Consider the following 12,370-nt stretch of genomic DNA (forward strand, 5'->3'; position numbering starts at 1 on the left):
GGCTTGGAGAGAATAATAATTGCACAACCCCTCTGATCAGGGAAATAAGATACAGAATTCTGCTTAAAAACCATCTCATTACCTGACAGAGTACAGGCCAAAAGCCAATTTGGAAAAAATCTATTCCAGTGTTTGCTCTTTGCTGAAGGTGAGAGCTTTCTCATCTAAGTTTGTGAACAGTTCTTATCTGTGATGAAAGAACAAAATATATTGAGGGCACGCTGCAAAAAAGAAGCTTCATTTATGTCTTTCTGGAAGATGACTTTTTGCTATTCAAAGTGTGGTGCAGCCTCAGCATCACCTGCTAGTTAGAAATGCAGATTCTCTGACCAACCAAGATATTCTGAACCAGAACTTGCATTTTAATAAGATCCCCAGATGATTTGTATGGATTTCAAGGCTTGAGAAGCACTAGCATGTGCTTCTGAAGGTACTGGCATCCAGCTGCCAGAAAGAAGCCCTTTTAAAAACACAACTTGCATATGTGCATAGAGTGTGAAATGACAGACATTGGAGACTCAGAAAGCTGGAGGTGGGAACAGATAGATGATGAGAAATTACTTAATGAATGCAATGTACATGATTCTGGGTGAAGGATACACTTAAAGCCCAGATTTCATCTCTATGCACTATATCCATGTAACAAAATTACACTTGTACCCCACAAATATATACAAAAAACTTTGCTTATAAAACAAAACAAAATAAATGCAAACCATCAAAAACTTTTCTCCCTAGAAGAACATTTAGGTTCCTCCAGGATGCAGTTGAACAGTTTGTAAGGCTAACACCCAAAAATTAATTCTAAGGGATGGGATTCGTTTGTCTGGATCTCCTTTCATTTCTAATTACATAATTTTAGGTAGTTTAATTTATTAAAAAATAATACAGGTACACAGTAAAATTTTTTAAAGCATAGGCATAAAACTATATATATTTAAAAGTAAGACCTCATTCTAGGTACTTAATTTCATTCCTAGATGTAATCACTACTAATAGATTTTATATTTTGTATAACTTTCCAGAAGTAGTCTAATGTATACGTGTGTGCATATATTTATTTATATCTTAAAATAAACTTTTGTATGAGCTATTCTGCCCTTTGCTTTTTAGCAACTTTTAAATATCCCATAACAGCACATAGAGAGATACACCTTATTGTTTTCAATATTTACATAATATTTTGTATATGTTTGCATGAAAATTTGCCTTGTTTTATTTGCCTATTCCAAATGATGTTGCAATGAATATCTCTCCGCATATGGGTTTGTACACATGTGTATCCATCTGTAAGACAAAAACCTATGAGTAAAATTACCAGTTCTAAGAAAAGGAGAACTTAAAATTTTGATGGATTTCACCAATTGCTCTTCAAACAACACCATAGATGTTTAGCACCCCACGAACCATTCAAAAGACTTGTGATTTTCCTATATCCCTGTTGTACTAAGATATCAACCCCAGAAATGTGTAATCTGACAGTTGGAAGTTAGTATCCTATTTCTATTTAAATATACATTTCTTTTATTATGAGTGAATTTGAGCATATTTGCATGTTTAAAAGCCATCTGTATATCTATTTGTGAACTGTTTGTTTACTTTCTTCAGCCATCCTTTTTGGAGGAAAAAAAGGTCTTTTTCTGACTAATTTATCAAAACTTTTTTTATATTAATGACTTCATAAATTAACCCTTAGAGGGTGACACATTTCACAAACATTTCTCTCAGTTTGTATTTCATCATTTTTCTCTTTGTTATATTATTTTTCTTTTGAACAGATAATGCTTTTACCTAGTTTAAATATTGGAACAATGTATGCATGTTATGAATTAAGAAGTCTCACTCATTTTTATACCTGCCGCTGTCTACTCCCTAGCGACCTCCTTGTGGGTAACCATGTTCATTATTTCTTGTGTATGTATCAATGCTTATGTAATTATAAACAAATACACATATACAACCTTATTTCCTCCTCTTTTGTAGAAAAAGAATTTCACTTGCAATGTTCTTGCTTATTTTTCACTTAGAAAAACATCTTAGAGACCTTTCCATATCAATAGAAAGCAACTTCATCATTTCTCTTTTTTTACAGCTGTATAGTATTCCACTACGTGATTGTAGCATACTTTATTTCATCAAATTTGTAGTGACGGACATTTGTTTTGTTTCCACTTTTTCACTATTAAAAACAAATTTGCAGTGAATAACCTTGTAACCATATTTATATTTCATGTGAACAAATGTATATATAAAATATATTCCTAGAGGTAAGATTGCTGAGACAAAGGATATATTAATTTGTAATTTTGATAAATATTGCCAACTTTTTTACACACTCTTTTTCATTTTTACTAGCAACGTGTCAAACTTTCTATGTTGGCCAAATTATGAATTACTGCCATATGATTAATAAAGGATGGCATTTCACTGTGGTTTTAATGTACATTTCACTTTTCATGAGAAAGAGTGTACAAACAGTTTAAGGGCCGTTTGTATTTTATTCTGTTAACTGTTATTTATCTGTTCATATCTTTACCTAGTTTATCACCAGATTGCTGTCTTTTTAGATTATTGGAATTTTACTATGCATATCCAGGTACGAGTCCTTTGTCTTTTATATCACTTACCAACATTTTAAAACAGGTTATTATTCTTCACTTAATGTTTCCCATTTTTTCGTGTAGGACTTTAATTTTTTTTGTTATTTATCACCCATATTTATGTGTTATGTCTTTGATTTTGAATCATATCTATAAAGGAATTCCCTAATCCAAATTTGTAAAATAATGTGACCATATTTTATTTCAGTTCCTTCAATAATTCACTCTATTTGAGGCTTATTTTAGTTTACTACATAAAGTATGGCCCTAACACCATTCTTTTTCCAATAGTTACCAATATCATTTGTTAAATATATATATTTATATCTTCTTTCCCACTAGATTGAGATACTGCCTTAAACATATTCTAGATACTACGTGTATCTGAAACTACATGTGTCTGAACATCCTGCTGTGTTCCATTTGTCTGACTATTCATGTGCCAATGCTGTACTATTTTAAATAGTGAGTTTTCCTGGTATGCTTTATCTTGAGATAGAGCTTGGTCCCTTTCACTGCTCTTCATATGTAGAGATTTCCTGACAAATATTGCCAGTTCATTTTCTATATGAATTTAAAATCAGTTTGAATAGTCCTGGGGCAAAGGATAGAGACTTGTTGACATTTTTATCCCAGTCATGTTAAATTTATAAATTAATTTAGAGATATTTGGACTCATCATATTGTAGAATATTCTCATGCAAGAATCTGCTCTTTCCATTTTCTCGGATCCATTTTTTTCAAGTTGTGTTTTAATGCGTTCCTCCTATATTGTTTGCACATCTCTTACTATGTTTAGCATGGTGTTATTCTGAATGTAAAATGAGTATGTTTTACATTACGTATTCTAACTGATCACTATTTGTACATATGAAGGAATAGTTTTCCTGTTTTTATTTTATACCCTGATATATAACAACATTCTTTATTTATTGGTCATAGTTTTCAATGGGTTCTCCTAGGCTTCCTAGATATTTAATAATATCATCTGGATATAATAATAGATTTACCATTTTCCTTCATGTTATTTTATTCATTTAAGACAAGATACATAGGGGAACTCACCTCTCCCCACCCTCCACACACACAAGTAAGAAAACTGTATACAAGAACAAAGGAGCAAAATTCTAAGGAATCTCAGGAATACTTACAAGGGAGTCTCACAGAAAGCTGAAGTCACTTCTTAGGAAAGGAGTCAATAAAGTTTGAATTGTTCCCAGTCAAACGAAGGACTTCCTTAGTACCCACATGTTGGTCTTGTGGTTTATAGAGGAATATATATATTTTATGTATATATTTTATATATATTATATATATTTCATATATATATTATATATTATATATATTTCATATATATATTATATATTATATATATATTTTATATATATTATATATGTTATATTATATATATATTTATATATTATATATATTTTATATATATTTTTATATATATATTATATATATGAAATTTTTTTTTTAAGACAATGTCTCCCTCTATTGCCTAGGCTGGAGTACAGTGGTGCGATCTTGGCTTACTGCAATCTCCGCCTTCTGGGCTCAAGTGATTCTCCTGTCTTAGCCTCCTGAGTAACTGGGGTTACAGGCATGTGCCATCATGCCCGGCTAATTTTTGTATTTCCAGTAAAGATGGGGTTTCACCATATTGGCCAGGCTGCTCTGGAACTTCTAGCCTCAAGTGATCCACTTCAGCCTCCCAAAGTCCTGGGATTACAGGTGTGAGCCACCACACCAAGGCCTATGTTTTGGAATTTATTTTCTTAAGAACTGAGTGCATAAATAATCTTTTATCAACAATCCATGGATATTTGAGAGAAAAGCAATCTCATTTATTTTTACACAAGAATCTGTATTAGTCAGTATTCTTCAGAGATAGATAGATACATAGATAGATAGATAGATAGATAGATAGATAGATAGATAGATAGATAGATGGGATTTATTAGAGAAATTCACTCATGCAATTATGGAAGGTGAGCAGTCCCATGAAAGTCTGTCTGCAGGCTGGAGACTCAGAGACGCTGGTAGCATCATTCAGCTTAAGCCCCCGAGAGCCGCAGAACCAGGGAAGCTGATAGTGTAATTTGCAGTCTGAGGCTAAAGGCCTGAAAACCCTGGTGTAAGTCCTTGAGTCCCAGAACCCTGTATATACCACTTTAATTTGGTAATGGAGTGCTGTCATGCATACCCAATTTATGATAGGAAGCTCACGTCAGACGGTAACTTGGTGGCCCATGGTCAAGTGTTCATTTTCTACTAAGGAAAACTAAGACCTGCCTCTCAAAAGCAGAGTAGGTATCTGCAGAGGATGACAGGGCTTTGCTCCCAAATCCTAAGGCACTCTGCTGTGATTCACCTATAGAGTCCTGCCAAAGGCTCCAAACAGCATCCCTGTCTGCTACTGACACCTCAAGCACCATTGCATCTGTTGGACCATTGGCCCAAATGGCAGAGCACTTTGCACAGCAGCCTGGACTTGTGGCAGAGTCTTCTCCTGTTCTGGGCCCTACTCAAAACTAGCAGCTTTTCAGGTCTGTCAGTAGATGGGCTGAAGTAATACACCCAAATGAGGAATGTGTTGCCTCGAAAATATAAATAGGCCCACTAGATATTGTGCCTCTTTCTTGGTTGTAGGAGCAGCTAGAAGCAGCTTCGTATCCTTTATCTTAGAAGGGATTTCTTGACATGGCTCAAACCACTGGACCCCTAGAAATTTTGCTGAGGTAGAAGACCCATGAAATTTAGTAAGATTTACTTCCCATCCTCTGATGTGCAAATGTCTTATCAATAAGTTTAGAGTAATTGCTACTTCATGTTCACTAGGTTCCATCAGCATAATGTCATCAATGTAATGGACCAGGGTAATATCTTGTGAAAGGGGAAGGTAATCAAGATCCCTGCAAACTAAATTGTGACATAGGGCTGGAGAGTTGATATGCCCCTGAGGTAGGTCAGTGCAGGTATATTTAGCCATGCCAGCCATAAGCAAACTGCTTCTGGTGAGCCTTATGGAAAGCTATGGAGAAAAAGGCATTCGCCAGTCCAATAGCTATGTACCAAGTACAAGAAGACGTGTTAATTTGCTCAAACAGTGAAACCATATCTGGTACAGCCACTGCAATAGAACTCACCATTGGTTAAGCCTCTAATAAGCCACTATCATTCTCCAAGATCTAGGCCAAATAGAAGAATTGAATGGTGATGTGGTTGGAATCACCACCCCTGCATCTTTTAAGTCCTTGATGGTGGCACTAATTTCTGCAATTCATCTAGGTATGTGGTATTGTTTTCTTATTTATCATTTTCCTAATTAGAGGCAGTTCTAATTAACTATCATTTGGTCTTTCTCACAATAATAGCCCTCACCTCACAGGTTAGGGAACCAATGTGCAAATTCTACCAGCAGCTAGGTGCATCTATTCCAATTTTGCATCTGGAACTGGGGAAATAGTCACAGAGTGTTTTAGGGACCCACTGGGCCCACTGTGTGTCAGAACTGAGCTAAAACACCATCGTTGGCCTGAGCTTCATAAGCTCCTACTGTAACTGGAGGGCCACAGTGACATTTCTGGTCTCCTGGAATCAAGGTCAGTTCAGAGCCTTTGTCCCAGTAGTCCCTGAAAGGTCAGATGCTTTCCTTTTCCCCAATGCACAGTTACCCTGGAAAAAGGCTGTAAGGTCTCTTTCAGGAGGGATGAGAGAAAGAGTAACTGTATACATTTTTGGAAGTGTCCTGGGGTCCTTCCTGGAGGTGACCCAGCCTCTCCTTCATATAAGGTGTTGTAGGTCTGTAAACTGGCTCAAGTTTGAGAATTGATTGATGAGTCATGATTCTCGTCGACGTAATTCAAGTTAGACTTTTGTTCACTTGACCAGAAAGTTTTCTGCTTATACAGATCAAGTAAGATTTTAGTAGGCTTCCTATTTATTTCACATCTAAGAACACCATACTTAACCAGCCAATGCCATAGATCTACACGAGTGGGAGCATTCTGATTTTTCCTTTGCCTCTGTTGTTCATTACAGTAACTATGCCCACCTTGCCTTTGACAGTTGAGTGCTGCCACTTGACGCCTGCCACTTCAGGATCCAATTATTCCTACTGCATTTAAGTTTTCCAATTGAGTGACTGTGGCTCCTATGGTAAGATCTGGCCTACAGAGAGAAGCAGTATCAGAGCTCTTCAGACATGCTGTGGCTCTCCTCACAAATCTCTTTCTCATCATCTATTTTCTTATTTATTTTAGTGTCTAGTTGATCTGTCAAAAATTAAAGAAGTATAATAAATCCTCCCAAATCTGTTGTGCTTCTGTGTATATCTCTTGTTTCCTCAGTTAAGGTTATATCTATTTTGACATTCTGTTTTTCAGCACATACAGACTCATGAGGATTATAATTTGCATGCAACAATTCCCTTTGTACTGTTAGCATGCTTTCTGCTTTGAATTTTACTTTGTCTGATATTTATATTGTCATCTCTCTGTTTACTTAGACTGCCTTTCTCCAGTTAAATTTGCTCATCACTTTCTGTTTAACCTTTTGAATCATTTTATTTTAGTTATCTGTCGTAGACCACAAACAGTTGGGCTTTCGCTTTATGACCCATCTGCGAACGTCTACATTTTAGTATAGGAGTTTGACTCGTTTGTGTTTATTGTCAGAGTTGATATGCTTATTATATCTGACAACTTTCTTTCTACTTATTATTTTTACATGCTTCATTGTGGCTTCATTTGCTGTTTCTCATTTGCTATATGGCTTATGTTTTGATTTTATTTTTTCCTCTTTTTGATATATACATTTTCTATATAAAATCATTCATGGTTATACTTAAGATTTTCAAAAATATTCTTCAACCTGCAATCCTTTTTGCATTAAAGTTAAGAACAATATAATAAACTATGATTTTCTTCCCTGCTAGAAGAACAATTTGGCACTTTTTTGTTCTACTTGCTATTCTCCGATATTCGGCTACTTACTTTTATGATATATATGTTCAGAGCTATATAATTCTAATTTCACAATATTTTAATATAACAGTAATATCTTTCAAAAAGAAAAACTGGAATTGGCGTTCAATTTTGTAATCACATTTTTCAGAATTTCATAAACCATTTTATTTTAACTTCTCTCAGTGATCATCACCTGCAGTTGTGCACCCTGCCTACGCATTCTTGAATGTTGATTAGGATTTCTCCTCTAGCTACTTGGCACTTTAGTGAACTCATGTTTTCAAGGATGGTACACAGGCATTTTAGAATCTGACCTCTTCAATAAATAACATCCTTTCTGTAGCTTACATGCATTAAATAAAGAGTAGCTGCAAAATATGAATTAGATAACCTTTTTCCCACAAAACTGGTCAGTTGTGATTGCTTTACTCTCGGTCATTTACTGTTTCACAAAAGAAATCTCCATTTTGCTAAATACTTGGGGTTTTCTTGAGACCTGTTGTTTCTCCTTGGAAGTTGACAAAATCTTTTTGTAATATTTAATTAATTTTTCTATGTTTGTTGACACTTACCTAAAATATGTTAACATGTTTCAGTATTTTTATGCAAGTCTGTTTGGGGCCAGAAGAAATTTTTTTCATATACATATTTTGTATTTTTACTTACGTTTTAATTTTCAATGTTTTATCCTCTATTATACTTTCAAGTCTTAGGCTAATTCTCTATCCTCAATTCTATTTTTTTTTTATCTTTTCATTTGTATCTTTTTCCTGTGGCTTGAAGTCACTTGGGAAATTGTTTAAACTTGTGATGTCTACTGGCATCCTAAAAATAGATAATGTGAGTGTTTGTGATTAGATCAAGTCACCTCCAACACGCCAATTCAGCCACATGCCTCTTTCTATCACTAACATATTCTGTTCCCCATAAGTAATAAACAGAAAGATAATCAGAAAAAGCAAATGGCAACAGCTTTAATGTTTATTTTTGGGAATTGTATGCCAAATACGGATGCCATTGGGCCACCAAAGATCACCTAATAGATATCTTGAAGGTTTTGTTTACATAGTCACCTGCAAAAAACTTCTTAACAGTCATACAACACACCTGGTTGTCTCCAACATCTTGTCCTATATAACATTATCCATTAAGTCCTCCCTGAACCATTAAATAAAATACAGTTGCCAAAATTGCATGGCTCTAGAGAATAGAGTCCATGTGGTGTATCACGTTTGTTTGGACTCAGGACACACCACCCTAAAATATGACTACAGGAGACCAGAATATGCCAACTCAAAATGTATTTTTGTGACATGTTTCAAGCTGGTTATTTTGAGAAACTGCAGAAACAGGAGTAGCTCTGAAAAGCTGTTCTTTTGTAAAAGAAATTTATATCTGTAAGGGAAATCTACATTGTAAAGTATCAGTATCAGGAAGAGGGCTGCTTCAGACCACTTTTATTCCCTAAGAGATGTTTTATCTACATAACAAGACAACCTTTATTCAACATACAATTCCTTGCCTCACCTTCCTGTAACTCATGTCTTCACTATTCTCCCAGAAGCCCCAAGTCCCTTTTCCTTTAACTCAGGGTATATAGGCTTCTTGATCTCTGGGGTGTCGGGTATTCACTTTTCTTTCGTATGATGCCCCAGTGCATTTGTATACCTTTTCTCCTTTTAATCTGTTTTACATCAATTTTCTTTGTAGCCCATCTAAAGAACCTGGGAGGATGGAGGAAAGCCAGTTTTTTTTTCCCTACACATTGCTCACAACTAAGAAAACCACAATCACAAAAGCATCACTAGGGAGAGGTTACCGAGGGCATATTCAGTGTTCTCTTTTTAACACAAGATGTTGCTATAGGAAAGATGCCACCAGTGCTCTCATATCGTCCTGGCCCTCATGCACATACATCTAAGGGAGCTTAGAATGAACACCTGTGACTCTTTGCCTGGTCTGCAGGAGCACACTTGGCCTAAATTCTGAGCAATACACATGAGGCCCTAAGAGCTAATAACCCCAGAAACAGCTTTGGATCAATAATGAATGAGGATTTGGTGGATAAATGCCCCAGCTCCCTCCCATTAGGTGGGGAGAACCCAGTGGAGTGCCCTACATGGTCTCCCAGAGTTCCCCAGCACGATGCTGCTAATGATGCTACAGTGGTAAAGTCATTGCTAGCTCGCTGTTAAAAAAAAAAAATCAACAGCTTTACTGAGACATAATTTACAGACCATAAAACTTACCCATCTATACTATACAATATAATTATTTTTAGTGTATTTGCAGGTTGTGCAATCATTACCAGGATCAATTTTAGAACATTTTAATCACTCTGAAAAAAACACTTGATATAGCTAACTCTTTATTAACTACCTTCCCCTCTCTGCTTCACGTCTCTCTACTCCTGAACCATTGTTTCTTGAGATGGCCACTCCAGTAAACGACATGCACTGAAATTCTCTCTAGGTCTGCTTTTGGGAGGATGTGAACCAAAACAGTGACAACCAGATAGACAAAAATAAATGACTAGAAAAACTTAGGTGATGCTCCATACACCATGTCACCAGAAAAACTTTCCTTTGAGCATCCACTAGTTTATATTTACCTAACAGATGTCTTGAAAGTTTTCTCCTCCTCTAAGCTCAGAAAGATATTTCACTTTCTTGATAATGCACTATGTTTTATAGTTTATATGTAATTTTTATTCCATTTTAATTCATCCTCAAAGGAGTGGAAATACAGACAGACCACATGTGTGAATTGCCCTTAACTCTGCTTCTTCTCCACTTGGGTCTGGTCATTTCCCATCCTCAGATCCACACTTCCAGAACAGGTTGCTTTGCTTACATCCCAGCAAACTTCCTCATACAAGCAAGGTAGTATATCACGGAGTTTTGCAGCCCTGAGGGGCTGTATTCTCCTAATACCCTACTCAAATGGGGTCATTCCGAAATTTCTTCTCCACCCCTGTTTAACAATTTTTAAAATACCATATTGACTCAGATATTTTATTGTGCTGTTTACTCTTTCTTAAATAATCTCCGCATTCTACCAATGAAGACTCTATTTCTTCTGCAAAAATACCGATGCCCACAGGATGCCAAGCACTGGTAGTTAGTAGCTTATTCTCTAGGATTCCTTATGCTTCTCTTTAATGCTTCCCAAGACTAACAGTATTTGTTCCCAAAACTGATATCACCGTCTATACTTGCTACTATAATTGTTAACATATTTGTTACTATATATAATTCAATGGTTATGTAAAACAGTAAAATATGAATGATAAAAGAGAAAGGTATTATTTCTATGAGAGCAAAGCTGATTACTTCCAAAGACTCAAAGGAAAATTGTTTAAAACAGCAATGTTGCATTTGATTTAGAGATCTGTGAGAAAACTGTAAAATATTTGAAAATAAAATTATATGTATATACACTCATATACGTCTTCTGCAATCATATGTGCATTACAGGTCCTATGAGTTTCTTTCATCACTTGAAAGAGATGAAACTGGAACACTTAGACCAGCAAATAGTTCTCAACCTTAAATGCACATTAGAATCACAGTGAAAGTTTTTAAAAAGTTGGGACTCACTCTCAGATTCTGATTCTATTTGTCTAGGACAAAACAGGCTGGACATCAGCTATTAAGACTTTTATTTTGTTTTTACAACTCCTCACAGAATCTGATGTGCAGTAAGGGTGCTAAAGGCATGGAACATCTTATCTTCATTTTGATTAGTGACTACTCTTCTGTATGTTGCAAACCTTCCTCTACAAGTGGTTTTTTTCCTTAATATTGCTGCATCAATTTAAAATTAGTAGCCTTTCTTTCAGATGCTGGTAGTATGTTGTTTGTAATCTAAGGTTTCAGTGAAGTTGCAAGTTTCCATTTTTTGCTGAGTCTTCACAGATATTTTAGAGGGACACTGCAGGAGGTAGGGTCAAACACTCCTATCCTGGTGAACTTTTAAATTGAAAACAGTTCTAAAAATTTTTAGAAATATGTTGAAGCTTAGCATGCTGCAAGTAATGCTTCCTTCCTGCTGCTTTAGTTTTACATTGACATTTTGTTTAAGGTTTTACTTCTTTGTGGTTCATGTTATGTCATAGTTTATTATTATTATTAATTCACACAATAAGAATCTATAATACATGTAAGAATAATTCAATGAACACATGTATACCTACTATTCAATTTATAAAACAGAAAATTACCAAAACCTTTTAAACTCTACTCAGTATTTCTTTCCACATTTCGTTTCCTCCCACCCACTGTTAACCAATTTCCTGTTTTGTAGTTATGCTTCCTGTTTGAAAATAGTTTTAACATATATTAATGCATCTTTAAGTGTACATTGCTTTATTTTGCATATTTAACCATTAAATATATAGAATCCAATGTACCTTTTCTGAGACTGTTTCCTTTTCTCAATACTATTATTTTAATATACATCCATATCAATATGAATATCTGTAATTATTTCACTCGTACTGCTGTATAGAATTCTATTATATGAATATACCTCAATTTATCCATCCATTCTGTAAAATGAATACTACATTAGGGTAATTTGTAGTATTTTGCTTTTGAAAACAATATTAATTTTTTTTATGTGTACCTAGTGTAGGCAAGCAATCATTGTTCTATTTGCCTGGTAAAGGGATTTCTGGATCATAATATATAAATACCTGCAACTTTAATGGTTAATTCCAAAGTATATTCTAAATTGAATCCAACAGTTTATATTTTCAACAACATCATATATCTGTCAAATCTTGATACTCTGTTTTAG

General features: G+C 35.0%; 1 long non-coding RNA gene across 1 annotated transcript; it reads left to right on the forward strand.

Annotated features, from left to right (window-relative positions):
• The first annotated feature begins 5,399 nt into the window (after positions 1-5,399).
• LOC124904871 (uncharacterized) lies at positions 5,400-6,924 on the forward strand. The gene is made up of 2 exons (XR_007067532.1): positions 5,400-5,891; positions 6,672-6,924. It is a non-coding gene; the product is annotated as an uncharacterized LOC124904871 (long non-coding RNA).
• The last annotated feature ends 5,446 nt before the right edge of the window (positions 6,925-12,370 follow it).

Source organism: Homo sapiens, chromosome 20 (genome assembly GCF_000001405.40).
Source record: "Homo sapiens chromosome 20, GRCh38.p14 Primary Assembly".
Taxonomy (NCBI): Eukaryota; Metazoa; Chordata; class Mammalia; order Primates; family Hominidae; genus Homo; species Homo sapiens.